The 25,842-nt window shown below is 38.8% G+C and overlaps 1 protein-coding gene across 7 annotated transcripts in view, besides 2 other annotated features; it reads right to left on the reverse strand.

The window, feature by feature from the left end:
- The window catches only part of ITGB6 (integrin subunit beta 6), a 100,602-nt gene extending 75,294 nt beyond the window's left edge, over window positions 1-25,308 (reverse strand). For 2 of the 7 annotated variants that reach the window (NM_001282355.2, NM_000888.5), the window contains exons 1-4: window positions 25,039-25,308; window positions 24,215-24,294; window positions 21,252-21,456; window positions 20,405-20,651 (exon numbers count right to left, since the gene is read on the reverse strand). In NM_001282355.2, the coding sequence (NP_001269284.1) occupies window positions 20,405-20,651; window positions 21,252-21,456; window positions 24,215-24,294; window positions 25,039-25,099 (593 nt within the window). In that variant the 5' untranslated portion in view covers window positions 25,100-25,308. The remainder of the gene's footprint in view (window positions 1-20,404; window positions 20,652-21,251; window positions 21,457-24,214; window positions 24,295-25,038) is intronic. The other 5 variants (NM_001282353.2, NM_001282389.2, NM_001282390.2 and 2 more) reach the window with 5 other exon arrangements.
- Window positions 5,720-6,292: an enhancer, noted in NCBI's record as "H3K27ac-H3K4me1 hESC enhancer chr2:161037195-161037767 (GRCh37/hg19 assembly coordinates)". NCBI's record gives its function as "activates a minimal SCP1, AML or CMV promoter by ChIP-STARR-seq in primed H9 embryonic stem cells {active_cell/tissue: H9 hESC(primed)}" and the evidence as "EXISTENCE:reporter gene assay evidence [ECO:0000049][PMID:30033119]".
- Window positions 6,293-6,864: an enhancer, noted in NCBI's record as "H3K27ac-H3K4me1 hESC enhancer chr2:161037768-161038339 (GRCh37/hg19 assembly coordinates)". NCBI's record gives its function as "activates a minimal SCP1, AML or CMV promoter by ChIP-STARR-seq in primed H9 embryonic stem cells {active_cell/tissue: H9 hESC(primed)}" and the evidence as "EXISTENCE:reporter gene assay evidence [ECO:0000049][PMID:30033119]".

Here is a 25,842-nt window from a genome sequence, read left to right on the forward strand (position 1 = left end):
ACCTGCTGAGTTAGCTATGCTGGGGGTAGGCTCACTGGCGTGCATTGTACTAAGCCTTCTGGATGCATGCTAAAGTTTTAGAATCACTGGTGTAGAAGCGCAAAGAGACAAAAAGGCATAGCGCCTGGTGAGGGAATGATGTGCTGCCTGGGGATGAACTGGTTGATTCTTAATATGGGCACATGTGGGGCCTGGGCCTTGGCTCTACAGGTCCAGTAGCTTACTTTGTCAGCACGAGAAGGTGCATTTTTCAATGTTAGGCTTCAGTTCATCAAGTTCATCTGCCTGAGGTATACAGTTGATCTTCATTATTCACAGATTCTATATTTGTGAATTCACCTAGTTGCTAAGATTTATTTGTTACTCCCTAATTAATACTTGCCGTGTTTTCTGAGTCATTCGTGGACATGTGTAGACAGGCAAAACAAAACAACAAAACAAAAAAACCCAAAACAAAGCATCTCCCTATATGCACATTCCCAACTGGAATCAAACACGGTGGTGCTCTGCCTTCTTATTTCAGGCCTCCAACTCTAAGCCAGTGTCTTTTTCACGGTCTACATAGTACCACCTTTCTTTCATTTTTATGCTTTTCATGGATGGTTTCACTGTTTAAAATAGCCCCCAGGCATAATGCTGAAATGCTGTTTAGTGTTCCTAAGTGCAAGAAGGCTGTGATGTGTCTCATTGAGAAAATAAGCTGTGTGAGACAAGCTTCATTCAGGCATGAGTTATAGTGCCTTCGTCTGGAGTTCAATGTTTATAATTCAATGAGATCTATTACATGTGGCGTCTTTAAATAGAAGCACACATAAAATAAGTTTGTGTAGTGATTTGTTAATGAAAATGTGATAGCCAGAGGCTCACAGGAACCTAACCCTATATTTTCCTTGGGAGCAATGATTCAATATTCCATAATTCATTGCTTGGGGCAAGTTTGCAGAACATGACTACCATGAATAATGAGAATTGACTGTGTGTACAGATAGATCAGAATGATCATGGACTCTTTCACACTGAGTAAGGATGCTCTCACCGGGACCAGAATGCTTGTGCCTGTGAGTATCATCATTTTCTTCCTATCAGTAGACTTTCCTTGAAAGCAGGTGAGGTTTGGATATGTCCCCAGGCTTCAGAACTAGGGGAAATGGAGGAACCCAGCACTGAATGGCATAGCCCAATATGTCCCAAGACGACCACCCCAGAATGGATGTTCTTGGTCACTTCTGACCCCTCCCCCATCTGTGGTCCACTTCCTCAGCTAACACAAATTTGAAAAGCTCTCGCAACCAAAGGGACTGGAAGCTCTGGAAGTGTGTTGGCCGAGGCTCTTGGATGGATGTGGCCCACACTGGCCTCTGTGACATCCCCTTCTCTGTCCTGCCCTAGCCCACTAGGTCTCTCTGTCCTTTCAGCTGCATCAATACACCTAGTCTACTGGGTCCAGGGGCCAGTCTGTCGCTTCCAGGTAATTTTTAAATTTCCTTTCCTAATTATTATGTTTAACTTTAACTCTCAGAAGACAACCTTATTCTCTTATTTTTAATATTGTTCATCAGGTTTCATTGAAACTCTAAAGTGCTGACCACAGACTGTATCTACCTAGCAGGATTGTCATGAGGCTTGAATGGGATCAAACAGGCAAAGAATACAGCACGATGAGCTTTTCAGAGTTAATGCATAATAAATATGATTGTCATTTCTTACATAAATCACTTCACACAGTCTAGAACAGACCTAAGTACAGATAATGGATTTGGCTAATGGTATCTCTAGAATAATGTTTTTTCCTGATTAAAATAATAAGGCAGGTTCATTGAAGAAAATTGGGGTTTTATATGAAAGTGTAAAGAAAAGAATCAAAAACATAAATTGTAATTGTTGTGAGATGAATCATAGTTTATTTGATCATCTTTCTATTGCTGAGCATTTATTTTGAACATTTTTGTAATTAAATAATATAGTGATCCTTCTACATACATATGTACAAACTATTCCATATCCTTGCTTAAAATAAATTTTTTGATTGTGAATTGCTGGGTTATCTTTTGACTCATATTACCAAACTCTTCCAAAAAAGTTTGTATCCATTGCCATCTGTGGTATTAGTGTATGGCATGGCATCATTGTTTTTTTTAAAAAAAACTATACTAGTTGATTAGCAAAAAATGGCATTTGTTAGTTTTAATTTTCATTTTATTATTACTAAGATTGAGTGATTGTTTCTACTTATTAACATTTTGTATTTCTTCTTTTGTTAATTGCTAGCTGATATCCTTTGCTACATTTCTTATTCTAATTTAATTTTAAGAACCATCCTGGCCAGGCGCTGTGGCTCACGCCTGTAATCCCAGCACTTTGGGAGGCCGAGGTGGGCGGATCATGAGGTCAGGAGATAGAGACCATCCTGGCTAACACGGTGAAACCCCATCTCTACTGAAAAAAAATACAAAAAAATTAGCCCGGGGTGGTGGTGGGTGCCTGTAGTCCCAGCTACTCAGGAGGCTGAGTCAGGAGAATGGCGTGAACCCGGGAGGCGGAGCTTGCAGTGAGCCCAGATCATGCCACTGCACTCCAGCCTGGGCGATAGAGCAAGATTCTGTCTCAAAAAAAAAAAAAGAACCATCCTAAAAATATTACATTTTTTTCTTTGTAGTTTGTCTTTTAATTTTGTTCATGGTGTTTTTGGATATATATCTTAAAAGTTTTGATGCAGTCAAACTTCTTCCCACCTTCAAATCTAAGATGCATTTTTAAAGTGTGATATAAGAAAGGAGCCTGATTTTTTTCAAAATATTTAACTTGTTAAATGACAATAATGCAGTATATTTCTTAATTGCCCTTAGAGCACTTGAAGTAGCTGTGGGTGGTAGAAAATACATTGGATTTAGAATAAAAAGAGCGAACAGTTATCTATCTTATTTTTTTGGAGATGGAGTCTCACTCTGTCACCCAGGCTGGAGTGCAGTGGCATGATCTCGGCTCACTGCAACCTCTGCCTCTAGGTTCAAGCCATTCTCCTGCCTCAGCCTCCCAAGTAGCTGGGATTACAGGCTCACGCCACCATGCCCAGCTAAGTTTTGTATTTTTAGTAGAGATGGGGTTTTACCATGTTGGCCAGGCTGGTCTCGAGCTCCTGACCTCAAGTGATGCACCCACCTTGGCATCCCAAAGTGCTGCGAGTACAGGCGTGCACCACTGTGCCCGGCCAGTTATCTATCTTTGGGCAAGTTATTCAACACCACTGGCCTCAGTGTCTTCCTCCATAAAATGGGAATGATCATAATATCTATTTCACAAAGTTGCCATGACGATTATATGAGATAAAAAGTATGTAATCATGTTAGGTACACCATTGTGCCTGGGACCTAACTATTCTTGGAAATTGTTTAATCTATTATTTGGGGCTACTGGTTCATACCATACCGAAATGACATTTGAGCATCTTCCAGATCCACAGAGGTAGCAGTCCTATTTTTTGTGAGAGATTTGCATCTTTGTTGGTTAGAATTATCCGCTATGTAGATTTTACTAGAACTCTGTGCCTTTGGAAAGTGGAATAAAATTTTAATTTAACTCACTAAAGAAATTCAAGTGATAGGAGAGCTAAAGCAAAACAGAATGTCAGAGATGGCTCACGCCAGGGAATTTTGAGTGCATATTGCCCATGTTTTGATCAGAGTTCATTTTCTTTTCTCTCTATCTTTCTCTCTCTCTCTCTCTCTTTTTTTTTTTTTTTTTTTTTGAGACAGGGTCTCCCTCTGTAGCCCAGGCTGGAATGCGGTTGTGGTGGCACAATCTCAGCTCACTGCAACCTCCGCCACCGGGGTCAAGCAATTCTCCCACCTCAGCCTCCCAAGTAGCTGGGACTACAGGTATGTACCACCATACCCAGCTAATGTTAGTACTTTTTGTAGAGATGGAGTCTCACCATGTTGCCCAAGCTGGTCACGAACTCCTGAGCTCAAGCAATCTGCTCGCCTCGGCCTCCAAAAGTGCTGGGATTACAGGCAAGAGTTCATTTTCTAACAAATGTTCATATTTTGTTGTTACTTTCTTAGCCTACCAATTAAAAGAAATAGGCACCTCTCACCAAATTACTTGATTTTGAGTCCCTAGATAAAAAGAGATTTGCATTTAAAATGCAAAATAATGATAAAACACAATATAAATATTACTTCAATTTTTTGTTAAAATTTTAAATAAATATTTATAAAATAAGACTATAATCACATATACTAAAGTATTAATATCGTCTTTTCCTGAGTGAGGTTAGAAATGATTTTCACTTCTTACTTTTGTCTGTATTTTCACATGGACTTATTACCTTTGCAATAAGAAACTATATACCATATACTCATATATGTTTATGTGTGTGAACATAGAGGAAATCCATTCTAGCATTTCTTTTCTTTTTTTCTTTTTCTTTTTTTTTTTTTTTTGAGATGGACTCTCACTCTGTCGCCCAGGCTGGAATGCGGTGGTGCCATCTCAGCTCACTGCAACCTCTGCCTCAAGTGATTCTCCTGCCTCAGCCTCCCGAGTAGCTGAGATTACAGGCATGCACCACCACGTCCAGCTAATTTTTTTTTTTTTTTTGGTATTTTTAGTTGAGACAGGGTTTCACCGTGTTGGCCAGGCTGGTCTCAAACTCTTGACCTCAGGTGATCTGCCCACCTCGGCCTCCCAAGTGCTGGGATTACAGGTGTGAGCTACCATGCCCGGCCCATTCCAGCATTTCATGCTTAGTTTCCTCTTTTGCAAAACTACAATGAACTCACTGTTGGTGTAAATTCAAAACAAAACAAAAAACACCACAGTATACATAAAATGATGTTTCAAAAATCTTTCGGCCGGGCAGGGTGGTTCACGCCTGTAATCCCAGCACTTTGGGAGGCAGAGACAGGTGGATTACTTGAGGTCAGGAGTTCAAGACCAGCCAGACCAACATGATGAAACCCTGTCTCTACTAAAAATACAAAAAAAAAAAAAAAAAAAATCATCTGGGCATGGTGGCACACGCCTGTAATCCCAGCTACTTGGGAGGCTGAGGCAGCAGAATCGCTTGAACCTGGGAGGCAGAGGTTGCAATGAGCCAAGATCATGCCATTGCACTCTAGCCTGGTCATCAAGAGTGAAACTCCACCTCAAAAAAAAAAAAAAACAAACAAAAAAAACAACCTTCAGAATGTTGCTGTATCTTAGACAACAGCAAAAGAAATTCTTTTCAAAAATGTAAACCACTTCAGCATTTTTAACAGGGTGAAATAAATTTTTAGTGTCTCTCCATCCACTGAAAATAAATGAGCTACTCCAGAAAACATAAAGATTAGATTAAAGAGGTGGATTTTCTTTCTTTTTATAGAGCCTTGGACACTCTCTATGTTGCCCAGGCTGGACTCAAACTCCAGGGCTTAAGCAATCCTCCAGCTCTGGGACTACAGGCATGTGCCACTGCACCTGGAAAAAGGGTGGCTTTTATTTTTATTTGTATTTAACTTTTATTTTATGTTTAGAGGTACCTGTGTGGGTTTGTTATATAGGTAAATTGTGTGTGATGGGGGTTTGGTGTGGTTTTTGAAGGGTGGTGCACAGACCCATGAGGGTCCCTGAGACCTTGCAGGAGGTCCTTCACGTTAAACTATTTTCACAGTAATTCAGAGATGTCATTTGCCTTCTTCACTGTGTTGACATTTGCACTGATGATATGAAAGCAGTAGTGAGAAGGCTGGTAAGATGATCAAATAGGAACAGCTCCAGTATGCAGCTCCCAGTGAGATCAACGCAGAAGGCAGGTGATTTCTGCATTTCCAACTGAGGTACCCAGCTCATCTCACTGGGACTGGTTAGACAATGGGTGCAGCCTACAAAGGGTGAGCCGAAGCAGGGTGGGGCGTCACCTCACCATGGAAGCGCAAGTGGTCAGGAACTCCCTCCCCTAGCCAAGGGAAGCTGTGAGGGACTGTGCCATGAGGAATGGTGCATTCCAGCCCAGATACTTCGCTTTTCCCATTGTCTTCACAACCCCCAGACCAGGAGATTCCCTCGGGTGCCTATATCACCAGGGCCCTGGGTCTCAAGCACAAAACTGGGTGGCTGTTTGGGCAGACAGCGAGCTAGCTGCCGGAGTTTTTTTTCATACCCCAGTGGCGCTTGGAATTCCAGCGAGACAGAACCGTTCACTCCCCTGAAAAGGGGGCTGAAGCCAGGGAGCCAAGTGGTCTAGCTCAGCAGATCCCACTCTCATGGAGCCCAGCAAGCTAAGATCCACTGGCTTGAAATTCTCGCTGCCAGCACAGCAGTCTGAAGTCGACCTGGGACACTGGAGCTTGGTAGGGGGAGGGGCATCTGCCATTACTGAGGGTTGAGTAGGCAATTTCCCCTCACAGTGTAAACAAAGCCACCAGGAAGTTCGAATTCGGCAGAGCTCACCGCAGCTCGGCAAAGCCTCTGTAGCCAGACTGCCTCTCTAGATTCCTCCTCTCTGGGCAGGAAATCTTTGAAAGAAAGGCAGTAGCCCCAGTCAGGGGCTTTTAGATGAAACTCCCATCTCCCTGGGACAGAGCACCTGGGGAAAGGGGCGACTGTGGGCACAGCTTCAGCAGACTTAAACGTCCCTGCCTGCCAGCTCTGAACAGAGCAGTGAATCTCCCAGCACAGTGCTTGAGCTGTGCTAAGGGACAGACTGCCTCCTCAAGTGGGTCCCTGACCCTCGTGCCTCCTGACTGGGAGACACATCCCAGCAGGGATCAACAGACACCTCATACAAGAGAGCTCCAATTGACATCTGGCGGGTGCCCCTCTGGGCCAAAGCTTCCAGAGGAAGGAACAGGCAGCATTCTTTGCTGTTCTGTAGCCTCCGCTGGTGATACCCAGGCAAACAGGGTCTGGAGTGGACCTCCAGCAAACTTCAGCAGACCTGCAGCAGAGGGGCCTGATTGTTAGAAGGAAAACTAATGAACAGAAAGGAATAGCATCAATATCAACAAAAAGGACGTCCACACAAAAAACCCCATCCGAAGGTTACCAACATAAAATACCAAAGGTAGATAAATCCACGAAGATGAGGAAAAACTAATGCAAAAAGACTGAAAATTCCAAAACCCAGAATGCCTCTTCTCCTCCAAAGGATTACAACTCCTCGCCAGCAAGAGATCAAAACTGGACAGAGAATGAGTCTGACGAATTGACAGAAGTAGGCTTCAGAAGGTGAGTAATAACAAACTCCTCTAAACTAAAGGAGCATGTTCTAACCCAATGCAAGGAAGCTAAGAACCTTGAAAAAAGGTTAGAGGAATTGCTAACCAGAACAACCAGTCTAGAGAAGAACATAAATGACCTGATGGAGCTGAGAAACACAGCACGAGAACTTCATGAAGCATACACAAGCATCAATATCTGAATCAATCAAGGGGAAGAAAGGATATCAGAGATTGAAGATCAACTTAATGAAATAAAGCATGAAGACAAGATTAGAGAAAAAGAATGAAAAGGAACAATCAAAGCCTCCAAGAAATATGGGACTATGTGAAAAGACCAAACCTATGTTTGATTGGTGTACCTGAAAGTGATGGGGAGAATGGATCCAAGTTGGAGAACACTCTTCAGGATATTATCCAGGAGAACTTCCCCAACACAGCAAGGCAGGGCAACATTCAAATTCAGGAAATACAGAGAAAACCACAAAGATACTCCCCAAGAAGAGCAACTCCAAGACATATAATCATCAGATTCACCAAGGTTGAAATGAAGGAAAAATGTTAAGGGCAACCAGAGAGAAAGGTTGGGTTACCCACGAAGAGAAGCCCATCAGACTAACAGCATATCTCTCTGCAGAAACCCTACAAGCCAGAGGAGAGTAGGGGCCAATATTCAACATTCTTAAAGAAAAGAATTTTCAACCCAGAATTTCATATCTCGCCAAACTGAGCTTCATAAGCGAAGGAGAAATAAAATCCTTTACAGACAAGCAAATGCTGAGAGATTTTGCCACCACCAGGCCTGCCTTACAAGAGCTCCTGAAGGAAGCACTAAATATGGAAGGGAAAAACTGGTACCAGCCACTGCAAAAACATACCAAATTGTAAAGACCGTCGACACTATGAAGAAAATGCATCAACTAACAGGCAAAATAACCAGCTAGAATCACAATGGTAGGATCAGATTCACACATAACAATATTAACCTTAAATGTAAATGGGCTAAATGCCCCAATTAAAATACACATAGTGGCAAATTGGAGAAAGAGTCAAGACCCATTGGTGTGTATTCAGGAGACACATGTCACGTACAAAGACACGCATGGGCTCAAAATAAAGGGATGGAGGAAGATTTATCAAACAAATGGAAAGCAAAAAAAAGCAGGGGTTACAATCCTGGTCTCTGATAAAACAGACTTTAAACCAACAAAGATCAAAAAAGACAAAGAAGGGCATTACATAATGGTAAAGGGATCAACACAACAAGAAAAGCTAACTATCCTAAATATATATGCACCCAATACAGCAGAACCCAGATTCATAAAGCAAGTCCTTAGATACCTACAAAGAAACTTAGACTCCCACACAATAATAGTGGGAGACTTTCACACTCCACTGTCAATATTAGACAGATCAATGAGACAGAAAATATACAAGGATATTCAGGACTTGAACTCAGCTCTGGACCAAGCAGAACTAATAGACATCTACAGAACTCTGCACCCCAAATCGACAGAATATACATTCTTCTCAGCACCAAGTCGCACTTATTCTAAAATTGACCACATAATTGGAAGTAAAACACTCCTCAGCAAACGCAAAAGAATGGAAATCATAACAAACAGTCTCTCATACCATAGTGCAATCAAATTAGAACTGAGGATTAAGAAACTCACTCAAAACCACACAACTACATGGAAACTGAACAACATGCTACTGGGTAAATAACGAAATGAAGGCAGAAATAAAGAAGTTCTTTGAAACCAATGAGAACAAAGACACAACGTAGTAGAATCTCTGAGACACAGCTAAAGCAGTGTTTAGAGAGAAATTTATAGAACTAAATGCCCACAGGAGAAAGTGGGAAAGATCTAACATCGACACCCTAACATCACAATTAAAAGAACTAGAGAAGCAGGAGCAAACAAATTCCAAAGCTAGCAGGGGACAAGAAATAACTAAGATTAGAGCAGAACTGAAGGAGATAGAGACACAAAAAACCCTTCAAAAAATCAGTGAATCCAGGAGCTGGTTTTTTGAAAAGATTAACAAAATAGATGACCACTAGCCAGAATAATAAAGAAGAAAAGAGGGAAGAATCAAACAGACACAATAAAAAATGATAAACAGGATATCACCACTGATCCCACAGAAATACAAAGTACCACCAGTGAATACTATAAACACCTCTATGCAAATAAACTAGAAAATCTAGAAGAAATGGATACATTCCTGGACACATACACCCTCCCAAGACTAAACCAGGAAGAAGTCGAATACCTGAATCAACTAATAACAAGTTCTGAAATTGAGATAGTAATTAATAGCCTACCAACCAAAAAATGTCCAGGACCAGATGGATTCACAGCCAAATTCTACCAGAAGTACAAAGAGGAGCTGGTACCATTCCTTTTGAAACTATTCCAAACAATAGAAAAAGAGGGAATCCTCCCTAACTCATTTTATGAGGCCAGCATCATCCTAATACACAAGCCTGGCAGAGACACAACAAAAAAAGAAAATTTTAGGCCAATATCCCTGATGAACATTGACGCGAAAATCCTCAAGAAAATACTGGCAAACCGAATCCAGCAGCACATCAAAAAGCTTATCCACCACGATCAAGCTGGCTTCATCCCTGTGATGCAAGGCTGGTTCAACATACATAAATCAATAAACATAATCCATCGCATAAACAGAACCAAAGACAAAAATCACATGATTATCTCAATAGTTGCAGAAAAGGACTTCAACAAAACTCAACATCCCTTCATGCTAAAAACTCTCAATAAACTAGGTATTGATGGAACGTATCTCAAAATAATAAGAGCTGTTCATGACAAACCCACAGCCAATATCATACTGAATGGGCAAAAGCTGGAAGCATTCCCTTTGAAAACCTGCACAAGACAAGAATGCCCTCTCTCACTACTCCTATTCAACATGGTATTGGAAGTTTTGGCCAGGGCAATCAGGCAAGGGAAAGAAATAAAGCAAATTCAAATAGAAAGAGAGCAAGTCAAATTGTCTCTGTTTGCAGATGACAAGATTGTATATTTAGAAAACCCCATCATCTTAGCCCAAAATCTCCTTAAGCTGATAAGCAACTTCAGCAAAGTCTCAGGATACAAAATCAATGTGCAAAAATCACAAGCATTCCTATACACCAATAACAGACAGAGAGCCAAATCATGAGTGAACTCCCATTCACAATTGCTACAAAGAGAATACAATACCTAGGAATCCAACTTACAAGGGATGTGAAGGACCTCTTCAAGAACTACAAACCACTGCTCAAGGAATAAGAGAGGACAAAAACAAATGGAAAAACATTCCATGCTCATGGATAGGAAGAATCAATATTGTGAAAATAGCCATACTGCCTAAAGTAATTTATAGATTCAATGCTATCCCCATCAAGCTACCATTGACTTTCTTCACAGATTTAGAAAAAACTACTTTAAATTTCATATGGAATCAAAAAGGAGCCCATTTAGCAAAGACAATCCTAAGCAAAAGAACAAAGCTGGAGGCATCATGCCACCTGACTTCAAACTATACTACAAAGCTACAGTAACCAAAACAGCATGGTACTGGTATCAAAACAGATATATAGACCAATGGAACAGAACAGAGGCCTCAGAAATAATGCCACACATCTACAACCATCTGATCTTTGACAAATCTGACAAAAACAAGCAATGGGGAAAGGATTCCCTACTTAATAAATGGTGTTGGGAAAACTGACTAGCCATATGCAAAAAACTGAACTGGACCCCTTCCTTACACCTTATATAAAAATTAACTCAAGATGGATTAAAGACATAAACATAAGACCTAAAACCATAAAAACCCTAGAAGAAAATCTAGGCAATACAATTCAGAACATAGGCATGGGCAAAGACTTCATGATTAAAACACCAAAAGCCATGGCAATAAAAGTCAAAATTGACAAATGGGATCTAATTAAACTAAAGAGCTTCTGCACAGCAAAAGAAACTATTATCAGAGTGAACAGGCAACCTACAGAATGGGAGAAAATTTCTGCAATCTATCCATCTGACAAAGGGCTAATATCCAGAATCTACAAAGAACTTAAACAAATTTCCAAAAAAAAAAAAAACATCAAAAAGTCGGCAAAGGATATGAACAGACACTTCTCAAAAGAAGACATTTATACGGCCAAGAAACATATGAAAAAAAGCTCATCATCACTGGTCATCAGAGAAATGCAAATCAAAACCACAATGAGATACCATCTCATGCCAGTTAGAATGGCAATCATTAAAAAGTAGGAAACAACAGATGCTGGAGAGGATGTGGAGAAACAGAAATGCTTTTACACTGTTGGTGGGAGTGTAAATTAGTTCAGTCATTGTGGAAGACAGTGTGGCCATTCCTCAAGGATCTAGAACCAGAAATACCACTTGACTCAGCAATCCCGTTACTGCGTATATACCCAAAGGATTATAAATCATTCCACTATAAAGACACATGCACATGTATGTTTACTGTGGCACTGTTCAAAATAGCAAACACTTGGAACCAACCCAAATGTCCATCAATGATAGACTGGATAAAGAAAATATGGCACATATACACCATGGAATACTATGCAGTCATAAAAAAGGATGAGTTCATGCCCTTTGCAAGGACCTGGATGAAGCTCAAACCATCATACTCAGCAAACTAACACAAGAACAGAAAACCAAACAGTGCATGTTCTCACTCGTAAGTGGGAGTTGAACAATGAGAACACATGGACACAGGGAGGGGAACATCACACACCAGGGCCTGTCGGGGGGGTGGGAGGCTAGGGGGAGGGATAGCATCAGGAGAAATACCTAACGTAGATGACGGGTTGATGGGTGCAGCAAACAACCATGGCACATATATACCTACGTAACAAACCTGTACGTTCTGCAAACGTATCTTAGAACTTAAAGTATAATAATAATAAAAAATAGAAAAAAACAATACTTCTCAATACTTTAAGATTTGTCTGATGAGAATGGTAATGATATTAACAAATGTGATTTTTTTTGATATTGTATCATGAAATCTGGAAGGTCTGCATAGCTCACTGAATCAATATTTTACAAAGGACAAAGCATCATATTACAAAATCACACATTGGTTAAAAAAATCCATTCAAAATGAAAAGAGATCAATGGCTTTTCATTTTAACAACATGAAACATTCACTGATGTTTCAGATTCCTCATTGAAACTACTTTCACCTGTTATCTAGTTTTACCTGTTATCTACTATCACCTGTTATCTAGTTTGAAGGTAATATCAAAGAAGAATGTCCACAGTCATTGAAAAAAGCTATTATATGCTTCTTCCTTTCCAACTATATGTTTACATGAGGTTTGACTTTCTTCATGGAATTCAATTTTTGAAAAAGGCAAAAGATTAAATGCAGGAGCAGATAGAGAATCCAGTTGTCTTCCATTAAACCAGATGCTTAAAGAGATTTCCGAATATGTAAAACAGTGCCACTCCATTTTAGAGCAGAAGGCCTGTTAATTTTTGTTTTGTTTCAGAAAATACAGTTATTTTTCATAAAAACATATTACAGTAATATGCAGTGGGTTTATTATTATAGTTATTAAATAAATCAGTAGATAATTATTTTAAAATGTTTCTGTTTTACTTTCTAGTATGATGATTATGGGTATATATAACCATAATCATAAACTAAAGCTCTTGGGGCTCTTAATTTTCAAGAGTCTAAGGGAGTCCTGAGATCTAAAAGTTTGAGGACCACTAGATTAAAATAACTAGAGATTAGTAAGTGTTAATGAGAGCGAGAAAAAATTAACATTTGTTTTGAATGTCTGTTTTGTTATGAGTTCATTTGGTTCTCACAATTACTCTAGGAGGTCAATATTATTATTCCCGTTTATAGGTAATGAGACTGAGCTCAAAGAGAGTAATGGTTTATCCAAAGTTATGATTGTAACCCAGGTCTGAAAAATCCTACGCTCTTTCCTTTTACCTCTAATTGCCTTCCTACTAAGAACATTTTATTCTACAATTATAAGGTTTGGTTTGATCAGAGGATTGACTTTTTATCTTGACATGTATATGTATGTATGTGTGTACAAGGGTATACTATCTGGACAGAGAAACTAAGAGAGTTAGGGCTATAATGGAAATGGGAAACATATAATCTTGCCACAAAAAAGAACTTGCTATTTACCACCTTAATGGTAAATTTTGCCCATAATAATAATCTTCAGAAAATAGGACATATTGAACCTTTTAAGAGATCAAATAGATGATTCTCCTTCAGGTCTCCAATTTTTGCACCCCCTGCAGTGCTCTGGTCTCCCCCTAATCACACCCTGTTTTTGTTAATAGTACCTCTTATTTATTGAGAACATATCATGGTCAGGCCCAATGCCAAATGCTTTTAATCGTTAACTCATTCAATTCTTTTTTTTTTTTTGTTAGATGTAGTCTCGCTCTGTCACCCAGGCTAGAGTACTGTGGCTCAGTCTTGGCTCACTGCAACCTCCGCCTCCCTGGTTTAAGTGATTCTCCTGCCTCAGCCTCCTGAGTAGCTGGGATTACAGGCATGTGCCCCCATGCCTGGCTAATTTTTTTGTATTTTTAGTAGAGACAGGGTTTTACCACATTGGCCAGGCTGGTCTCAAACTCCTGAACTCATGATTCACCCACCTAAGCCTCCCAAAACGCTGGGATTGCAGGCGTGAGCCATCACACCTGGCCAACTCATCAATTCTTAGCTAGAGGCATCACGCTACCGGACTTCAAACTATACTACAAGGCTACAGTAACCAAAACAGCATGGTACTGGTACCAAAACAGAGATATAGACCAATGGAACAGAACAGAGCCCTCAGAAATGATGCCACATATCTACAACTATCTGATCTTTGACAAACCTGACAAAAATAAGAAATGGGGAAAGGATTCCCTATTTAATAAATGGTGCTGGGAAAACTGGCTAGCCATATGTAAAAAGCTGAAACTGGATCCCTTCCTTACACCTTATACAAAAATTAATTCAAGATGGATTAAAGACTTACATGTTAGACCTAAAACCATAAAAACTCTAGAAGAAAACCTAGGCAATACCATTCAGGACATAGGCATGGGCAAGGACTTCATGACTAAAACACCAAAAGCAATGGCAACAAAAGCCAAAATTGACAAATGGGATCTAATTAAACTAAAGAACTTCTGCACAGCAAAAGAAACCACCATCGGAATGAACAGGCAACCTACAGAATGGGAGAAAATTTTCGCAACCTACTCATCTGACAAAGGGCTAATATCCAGAATCTACAATGAACTCAAACAAATTTACAAGAAAAAAACAAACAACCCCATCAAAAAGTGGGCGAAGGATATGAACAGACACTTGTCAAAAGAAGACATTTATGCAGCCAAAAGACACATGAAAAAATGGTCATCATCACTGGCCATCAGAGAAATGCAAATCAAAACCACAATGAGATACCATCTCACACCAGTTAGAATGGCGATCATTAAAAAGTCAGGAAACAACAGGTGCTGGAGAGGATGTGGAGAAATAGGAACACTTTTACACTGTTGGTGGGACTGTAAACTAGTTCAACCATTGTGGAAGTCAGTGTGGCGATGCCTCAGGGATCTAGAACTAGAAATACCATTTGACCCAGCCATCCCATTACTGGGTATATACCCAAAGGATTCTAAATCATGCTGCTATAAAGACACATGCACACATATGTTTATTGCGGCACTATTCACAATAGCAAAGACTTGGAACCACCCCAAATGTCCAACAATGATAGACTTGATTAAGAAAATGTGGCACATATACACCATGGAATACTATGCAGCCATAAAAAATAATGAGTTCATGTCCTTTGTAGGAACATGAATGAAGCTGGAAACCATCATTCTCAGCAAACTATCACAAGGACAGAAAACCAAACACTGCATGTTCTCACTCATGGATGGGAATTGAACAATGAGAACACATGGACACAGGAAGGGGAACATCACACTTCAGGGACTGTTGTGGGTTGGGGGGAGGGGGGAGGGTTAGCATTAGGAGATATACCTAATGCTAAATGACGAGTTAATGGGTGCAGCACACCAACATGGCACATGTATATATATGTAACAAACCTGCACGTTGTGCACATGTACCCTAAAACTTAAAGTATAATTAAAAAAAAAACACTCTTTGTGATTGGCATTGTTAGTCTAGACTTACAGCGAAAACACCGAAGGCTTGAGAGATGAAATGATTCACCTAAGCTCACATTATGAGTGAATATATGAATCAAGACTGAATCCAGGGCTGACTCCAAAGCCCTTGTGGTTAATCACCATGCGATACTATGTACCTGCTTCCCCAAAGGATTTCAGCTACTTGAGAACTGGGACCAGGTCTTTTTCTTCCAAATATACTCATGCCTGGCACATTGCTTGGTACATAGTTGGAACTCAGTAAATTTTTGTTGAACAAATGAATGAATAAATAAATGCATGAATAAAGTACAGTCAAGAGGTAAATAAAGAGCCAAACTGCTTTCATTTACTTGAAGCCCGATTAAGGACAGGGTCTCATTGTTAGTTCAAGATGCTGGGATACTAGTTTAGCTGAGCCATGCAACCTTGTTAATTTTAGTTATTTTCTCTGGTAACATTCCACACTCATTGGTTCCCATGGTTATTATTGTACTACATGTTGCTACATCGTACCTGATCTGTGACATGAGGAATGATTTTAAATATACCCTCTGGGGCAGAGGTGGCACTTTGGAGTTCTAGTTGGAATTGCCCTACTAATCTCTCTATGGAAGCTTATTGTAGGGGAAACACACAATATACCAAAGAACTAAATACAAATTTTATTCAGGTATAATATTCTCTGATTTTAAAAATGGGGCCAAAAGCATTAGCAATACTTTTATGTTAGATAGTTAAGAGGTTGTTAGCACCAAGCTTATTTCCCTTCACAAGTGAATCAAGCAATTAATAACAATAATCATACCTTACTTTTTATTATACAGAATTTTTGAGGGTATAAGTCTTTATAACTCTTTATAGAAATCTATGTATTCAGTGTCACAGGAACTACTCGCAGATGCCACCTTGTATCCATCTTTCTTTCTTCCCTAATAACAGAATGCTGATTTTGGAGGGGCAGCTAGCAATGTGCTTCCTTTGTAGTTAACTGTGGTCATGTAACTAAGTGCCAGCCAATGAGATGCAAGTCTAAGGTGATGAGTATTTCTGTCAAAACCTCTTAAGTTGGGGCAATAAAATTTAACAACCATTTATAATTTTTTTAAAAAAACTTACCAAGCAAGGAATAGAAGATCATTTCTTTGATCTGATGGAAGGAAATGAAAAACCACTAGCTAACAACATACTTAATGGTAAAACACTGATCCTTTCTCCCTAAGATCATGAACATGACTAGATTGTCCTCACCTACTACATCAACTTAAAAGGGTACTGGAGACCCAAGTCGGTGCAATAAGGTAAGAAATAAGAAAGAAGAAGCATAGATATTGGAGGAAAAAGAAGTTGTTATTCATAGATGATGTGATCATATACACAGAAAATTCTAAGGAATCTATAAAAATCACACTAGAACTAATGAGAAAATTTATGAAGTTTGCAGGATACAAAGTGAATACGCAAAATCAATTGCAATTCTACATGTTATCCACAAAGAATTCGAAAATAAAAATGTTAAACGTCCCTAGAAATAAATAAAACAAAACATGTGCAAGATATCTACCCTGAAAATGACAAAACATTGCTCTGAGAAATTAAACAAGATATGAATAAATGAAGATATATGTCATGTAAAATGATTGGAAAATTCAATATGTGTAAGATGTTCAATATCCCCACAAATTGATCTATGGTTTCAATGTTGTCTCAATAAAAATCTCAGCATATTTTTTGAAGAAATTGACAAGTTGATTCTAAAATTTATATGGAAATGCAAAGGATCTAGGATAAACAAAATGAAAGAACAAAGTTGGAGGATTTATGCTCCTGATTTCAAGACTTTTTATAAAGCTCTGTAAGGGGGGTAGTGAGGCATTAGTGGTTACATGGGTATATGCAATGGATCAATGAAACAGAATAGTGTCCAGAATTAGACTCACACATATATGGTCAATTGCTTGTCAACAAAGACATTAAGATAACTCAATGTGGAAAAGAAATTCTTGTGTAACAAATAGTGCTTGAACAACTAGATATCTCTGTGGAAACAAAAGATGAACCTAGACCTTCCTTCTCATTCCAAATACAAAAACTAATCTGAGATCAGAAGCCTAAATGTAAGCATGTTAAGCATAAAGCTTCTAGAAGAAAATATAGGAAGAGTCTTTGTGATCTTTACAGTAAGCAAAAATTTCTTAGGACATACAACACACCAACCATAAAATTAAAAATTAATAAGCTGGACTTCATCAAAATTACAAACTTTTGCTTGACCAAAGGTATCGCCAGAAAAATTAAAACACAAGCTATAAACTGGGAGAGAATATTTTTGACTAAAATATCTATTTTTTGGCAAAATATATTTGACAAAAAACTTGTATCCAGCATATATAAAGTACTCTTACCACACAATATTGGAAAGACAGTCTAATCTTAAAAAAATGGGCAAAAGATTTGAAAAGAAACCACAAAATAAGAAATAAGAATGGCAAATAAACACAGGAAAAGGAGCTCAACATCATTCATTATTAAGGAGATGCAAATTAAAGCTACAATGAGATGCTACCCCACACCTATTAGAATGGCTAAAATTTTAAAAACTGACAACATCAAGTGTCAGTAAGGATATACAATATCTGGAACCCTGTCACACTACTGAAGGAAATGCAAAATGGTATGTTCACTTTGGAAAACAATTTGGTAGTTTCTTTAAAAAGTAGAAGTACCATACAGTTCAGCAACTCCAGTTTAGGTGTCTATCAAAGAGAAGTAAAAGTATACATCTATACAAAGACTTCTACGCAAGTGCTCATAGCAGCCTTTTCATAATAGCTCCCCAAAATAGAAACAACCCAAATGTCCACCAATAAAAGAGTAAATAAAATGTAGTTAATATATACAATGGATTATTAATTAAAACAAAAAGCAGCAAACTCCTGATACATACAAAATAATAGGTAAATCTTCAAAACATTATGTTGAACCAAAGAAGCCAAACACATAGGGCATATACTACATTATATATTTATATAAAATTCAGGAATAGGCAAAACCAATATAAATTATAGAAACAGAAAGTGGTTGCCTCTGAAGTGGTAGAACTGACTGTAACGTGAAATTTCTGAGGTGATGGAAATATTCTACATCATGTTTTGGATATTGATTGCAATGGTATATTTAACCATCAAAACACATGAAACTGAACATTTTTGATCTGTGCATTTTAGGCATGTCAACTATACATTAAAAGGAGTTGCGAGGGAGTGGGCAGACAGTGCCCTTATTGCCCCTATTTTCCTCCTTTCCTTCTGACTGAAATGAAGAAGTAATGATTAGTGCCCCAGCAACATTCTTGGACTGTGAACATAAAATCCAAGTGTCAATAATGGTGAAGCAGAGAGGGGGAAAAAGGCCTAGATTCCTCATGTTTATGGATCTGCCATACTACCCCTGAATGGCCTTTCTCTGTATTTCATGTAGAAGAGAAAAGAAAATATTGACTGGGCGCGGTGGCTCACGCATGTAATCCCAGCACTTTGGGAGGCCAAGGCGGGTGGATCGCTTGAGGTCAGGAGTTTGAGACCAGCCTGGCCAACATAGCGAAACCCAGTCACTACTAAAAATACAAAAATTAGCCAGGCATGGTGGCAGGTGCCTGTAATCTCAGCTACTCGGGAGGCTGACACAGGAGAATTGCTTGAATCCAGGAGGCAGAGGTTACAGTGAGCCGAGATCATGCCACAGCACTCTGGCCTGGGTGACAGAGTGAAACTCCATTTCAAAACAAAACAAAACAAAACACAAAAAACAAAAATACTCTCTTTTTAAGCCACTGTCTCAGATACTTGCAACCAAACAAAATTTCTAAGTGTTACAATCATTGATAAATTTCCTTTATGGTTAAATTATTTTTTATTATGTTAGATTGTAGTTGGGAAGTACACTGAGATGTTTTTTAAATGGTATAATAAAAGCTGTTTATCTTTTATAGAGATTGATGCCTTTGGTGTATAAAAGTATTATAAATTAATAAATATTTGGAACATTATTTCATATATACTAGATATATAGCAGTAATGGGCTTGCTTTTGGGACAAATCAAATCTTGGTACAGATCATGGATTAGTCATGTGGCCCTGGGCAAATAGCTAATCTCTCAGAGCCTCTTACTTCCTCTGAGTATAGGGCTGATGTTATTAAGCTAGCTTTAACCTGCTGTTTAACCTGCTGTTATTATGAAGGCTGAATGAGGTCATGTATGTAAAACCTTCCACACGAGATCTGGCACAGAGCATATGGTAGCTCATTTTCAATAGGAGAATATTTGATTCTGAACATGTCATTCACTGCACAGGTAAGCCGTCACAAAGCAATCTGTCCTCCACCATCACCTGCATAATGTGTGGTTTTAATAGCTTATTATAGCATATGAGAATGGAGTCATTGCCTATGGAGTGATTTACTACTGAATTTAACAGCAGTGAAGGCTGCATTGGCCTTCTCCAAGCAATAAGAGAAACCAATATTTCCCAAAGTATGTCAGAGAAAGTTGCAAAAATTATTATTTTGCCAGAAGTCATTGTCATGGAGAAAGACTCTGGGAAAGTGAAGGTTATTCTCAAATAACCTCAGAAAGTGGTGGCCACTGAGGCTAGAAAGTGTCTGAGAGGCTGGGGCTGGGCACCATCCAGTGGAGCCTATGGTGAAAGTCTTGGTTCCCTCGCCTGCATAACACGCATTCTGGTTTGCCACATCCTGCCCTATACTGGGAGGCAAATGCAGAGGCCTCAAGGACCCACGGCTAGAACCATGTAGTTCAGATGACCTCACCTCCACTCTAAGCAACCTAGGCCTCTGAGAGAACTGCTGAGATCCAACCAGACAAGGCAGAAATGCCAGGGAGTTAGCAAGCTCCTGGCAAGTGCAGCTCAGAGCGGGAGTATCTCCACAGAAAATCAGCGCACAAAGATGCCAAGAGAATCATTTACTTACCTGCAAGGGTTGGCAATTTCTTCTGGTGTTGTTTTCACAAAAGGGGATACAGGTTTTTCCACAAAAGATCCGAAGCCCAGTCTAAAGTTGCTGGTTAATTTAGACATCTCTTTGGAAAGCCGGGAGCCCAGCTCCTTTATTGTGTTGAGGTCGTCATCCATGGAGGCGGAGAGGTCCATGAGGTAATACAAATCCACCGGGTAGTCCTCAGTCTGGCGGACATGCACCTGCAGAGTCTGCGCACCACCTGCAAAGCCCAACAGGAAAAGCAAACCCAGGAAAACACACTGAGATTTATTTGCTACTGGCCACTCGCTGGGTCAGCTGGCTATTTCACCTCAATAAGAACTTACTGAAATACATATGATTTTATTAACTGTGTGGTCAAGATCCTAAAAGAACCAACCCATGAAATTCTTTCAGCAGTGAGTTTAGAACTATTGGAGGATAAGTTAGGATATTTTATCTCTCCTTGGGAGAACTAGCATCCATTTAGATAGAAGATAAGCTGAATTTTTTGTGTGTTGTTTTAGAAAAGGAGAACCAAATAAAAGAGAGTTTAAATCTACATTACAACCCTTGAAGAAATGTGAGGTAAGCCTTAACAACATTTGAATAATTTAAATGGTTACTATTAGAGAAGGCTTTTTTAGTAACACAATTGGAGTGCCGGGGCCAATGTGAATAGAGAAATGTGTGAGCCTAATAATTTTCTATTTCCTTAAGAATGGGAAATTCGAGTCATAATAATCAATGATATGTAATATGATACAAGACACATTAGCAAGGTAGCAGAATTACCATATATGACATTAGATCTATTTACATGAGCCAAATCCTAACATACCTGGTCTCAACTTAAGGATCAAGCTTTGAGGCGCAATCTGAACAATGTCAGAACTATTTTTCTGTCTGCCTACACTGAGAGGCTTATTTTTAAGTATTTCTACTTGGGAGACAGGGTTTTCGATGAAGTTTAATTGACATCCTTTAGCTAAAAGGTTTGCTGGGGTATCACACCTTTCGCCAACTCCAGATGGATGAGTAAAATTCTAAAAAAGAAAAAGAAAAACAATAACCAGAAAAAGAAAACAAATCTGAATTTCTTTATAAGATACCAGCAATTGAAAGTTTTTCTGCACAATTTGCTAGTTAAGCATCTTGCCATATTGTATCCCTACATGACTAACATTGATTATAGGTCTAAAGTTAAGTTATAGGTGAATAACCAGAGAATTCTGCCGGTAAAATTCTGAGTAAAACTGGAGTCTCCTTTCAGTTATGTTCAATTGAATTCACGTAACAATTGCATGTGTGTGTGTGTGTCTGTGTGTGTGTGTCTGTGTCTTAAGCTCAGTTCTTTAAAGCTTTGTCCCAGGCCATGACCAGATCCTTGAAACTGTTGGGTTCACAGAGTTGACATCATCCCATGAATTTATCTGCTCAGGGTGACCTGTAGGTTTGATTCCATGATCAAATCTTTATCACTAGATTTGGGAATTGACACACTGTCCAAGGGCTCCAGGGTGTCAATCCCCAAATCTAGTGATAAAGAGAGATTCTGCAGATTCCTAAAGGGTAGGGATTGCAACATCTCCCCCATCTAGCACTCTCTGCCAGTTGTATGCATCGGTCTGTTACCCTTATATTGCAGCATTACTTCACCTAAATTGACCTCTTGTGGACTTAAACCCAGAGTCTTGAAGTATCCTAGTTCAAGATCCTTTATAACTTTCTCCAAGATTTGAAAGTGAGGAAGAAAAGTGAAAAAGATGGGTTAAAAGTCTGCTTTTTGCTGGTGCCTGTAGTCCCAGCTACTTGGGAGGCTGAGGCAGGAGAACGGTGTGAACCCGGGAGGCAGAGCTTGCAGTGAGCCCAGATCATGCCACTGCACTCTAGCCTGGGCGACAGAGCAAGACTCCGTCTCAAAAAAAAAAAGTCTGCTTTTCTGCGTGGGACACAGGAGTTTCCCACAAGGATAGCAGAGGGGCAGTGAGATGTAGTCTTTCCCAGCAGAGATGTGGCCGTTCAAATTCTGAAACACCCAAAACAGGGAGATGGAGCTAATAGATTAAATACCTGTCTTACCTGATAGGCGTGGCTGCTTTAGAGTGGGCATGACACTATGCAAAGGGGAACTTGTTGCCCATTGACTTTCATGCTTAGAGAAAACAAAACCAATGCTCATACTATTTTCCTTGCCTCTTAGAACTCCAAGCCACTCTTGCTGTTTTCATCAACTAGGAAAGTTAGATTTCTTCTGAAATTGATTTTGAGAATACAATTTGTTATCTATCAGTAGGCCTGTGCGTGTCTGAAGCTCTAGGCCAGGCATGGCAAACTGTAACTTCCCATGATGTAACCAAGGGAAACAGTGGCTGGCCAAGGCTTCAGAATCCTTCTCAACACAGTGTCATTGCTATCACCTCTATTCATAGCCTTTGCCAGAAGATCAGAGGTGGTGTTAACCACATGACCTATTTTCTATCTGCCCTAAGCAGAAGCCTAATTTACTTTTTGCTCCAACTGCCTCGACTGGCATCCTCATAACTACTTCTAATATTAGAGTGGCCTCTTAGAATAATTTGGTTTTACAATTTGACAACAATTTGGCTACCAAGTATTATACACAAGTAAAGTTATCAGCAGCAACTTAGGAAACTCTCTTAAGTAAATGCTGAAAAATGCATTTAAATGAAAATTCTAGGCTGATTTGTTGTTGTATCTCTCTGGCATGAAACTAATACTTCTTCAAGAAGTCAATATCCAAAAAACATGTGATTTTTTCCCTTCTTGTATATTCTCAATCCTGCTTTGATACAGGAACTAAAAAAAAGCATAATTCTCTTGAATTTTTTTTGTGGCCGCGTTGGTCAAGGCCGTAGTAAGGGACTGAGCTGTGTCTGTGCTCTCTTGTCTGTGAGGCCACACTTCATGGATACACACTGAACTCGGAGTTTGGGTTTCCACAGGTAGAACCCAGTTCTGAGTTTGGTGTCGAGGTTTGTTGCTCTTTGAGCATGCTACTCAGCTCTTGCTGCACTTGGTATTCGTATGATTTGATTTATGTTTAGATTATCTTTATGAGATCCAGTGCATAGAGACTTGTTTTAAAATTCAGAAAGCTAATGCCTCTCTTCCTTACCATGAATCAGTTAGACATCATTCTCTAGTGTCTTAGGATGGCTTGGTACATAGTCCCCAATCATCTTCATACTGCTTTCATGTAGTTTTCGGTTTGACCAGATAAGGAGTTCCTATTTGGCACTTTGTCACTGGTGTGGTACAGAGTCACTGAGTTTATGAAAATGCCATTTTTAAAGGAACTGGATAATATCTGACCAGTAATATTTGCCCCAAACTTAAAACACATCCCTTAGAATCTAGCAGTAGTTCAGAATGGATCCTGGTACCCAGAGGGAATACAACTATAATATGAACATCAAATGTATGTTTAACTTTAGAAAATATCATCTCCATGAACTCTGATTATCCAGACAGCCTCCATATTTTACATGTAACCTGTAGAAATGGCTTTACAATAAAAGAAGGAACCAGGTAAAATAAAAAAATCCCAAGTTAAAATTTTTTTCCGAATTATTTGACATCCACTCCTTCTACAAATTGTTTTTGAAAGTAATCACATGAATGCCATTTTGATCTACCAATGCTCACCTTCTCCTTTCCTGATTTGTTTTACTTATACAACTCCACAAAAAAGCAAGTCACTATCAGAAATATCACTGAGGAAATTAACATGAATTTAACTGCAGACAGGTTTTAAAAACACATTGAGGTCATTTATTTTACCTCCTGAGCACACCAGGCACACTGAGGTCCAATAAGCAGGCAGTCTTCACAGGTTTCTGCACCTCCCAGGGCACAGCCACCTAGGTTTAGACCCAGCAAGATGCAGGGATTAAGTACACTTTCAGTCATTCCATTTATGAGACTGATGGCTCTTACATTACTTGAACAAAACAACATCAAAGTTTAGTTTAGTATCCAAAATCAGTCCTCGAAATGTTAGCAATTCACATAAAAGTTTGTATTTTACATCTATCACATGTAAAATATGTGTATGTATATTAAAAATTATGTATGTCTTATAAGCCAAAATTATCATGCTCTTTTTTCTTAAAATGTGAAAGTTCACAAATATAGGATTATCCTATTTATTATTCTTAGCCAATGTGTGCCACTTTAATTTTTAAAAATTACTTGCAACCATTAAAAAATGCTTCTTTCTTAAACAAGTTATTTCTGTTTTTGAAATAAATCCTCTTTCTCTTTCAAGATTATTACTCCTAAGTGGAAGATCTTGTGGTAGAATAAAATAGAAAAGTTTCAAAAATGGTTATCATACTGGCACTAAGTTCCATTGGGCAGTAATGTTATTTAATTCTCCTCATTAAAATGCCTGTGCAACCTTTGTATTTATTTACCTTAAGCCTAGAGCATTCACTGTGGGAACTGCCCGGTGTTTGTCTGTAATTTGTTAAAGTGTTCACTCAGTCACAAAAGAGCAATGGAACAGATCAAATAAAACATGACTTCAGATCTAGTTTCTGAACCAAATGACAGGTTTGTCAAGCATACCACGAAAGTAATATATCAGAGAACGCAGGTCTTACCTTGTACGTGATCATTCCTTCCTAGAAATAGAAAGAACAGGCAAAGCAGTTCAATCCCCATTCGTTTCAGTTCTTGCTGTGCAGACCGATTAAAAAATGAATTACCTTCAGCGTTACAAGACCAACGCTGAATATCGTTAAAGTCTTTCTTTCTTGAAGTATAACATTTTAAATACTACTTACACTGCTTTGAAAAGAAACTTGAGATATAAGTTAGAAAGTTTTCATTAAGACTGAAATGAAAACAGAGGCTACCTGGACAGGTAAAGCAGAAAAGCTGTGTTTAAAAGCAACTTCAACATGATTTACTTCCTTGTTCTCCTTATAAGGAAGGCAGGTGTACAATCACCAAGAAGGTGGGGAAATTCATTCAGTAGAAATTTTGGTGTAAGTTCTATGAGTCTCTCTGCATCCTAGAGAAAGTTAATATCTTTAGTGAAATATTGATCAATGAAAAGTCACAACAGCAATAGAAATATAGTCATTTTAAAAATAATTTTAATTTAATGTAAAGAATAAAGATTAAATAAAGCATATAGGCTATATATGAGGAAAGTAAAAAATGAGCTTAATGAAAATGCCTGAGATTTTAGTGTTTCATTGCTAAATCCTTTGCAAAAAATTGAAACGAACCCTGAAAAAGAAAAATTATTATCTTACAGTAAATGAGAAGGAAGGCTAGGGAAAGCAAAGCACTGTTTCCTTATTTTTTCAAATTAGATGAAATATATTTTTCCATAAGTATAAAATTCTTATTTTAAAATTATATTGGAAATAATCATAATATATAAAAATCAAAGGAGA

The sequence above is a fragment of the Homo sapiens genome, chromosome 2, assembly GCF_000001405.40.
Source record: "Homo sapiens chromosome 2, GRCh38.p14 Primary Assembly".
Taxonomy (NCBI): domain Eukaryota; kingdom Metazoa; phylum Chordata; class Mammalia; order Primates; family Hominidae; genus Homo; species Homo sapiens.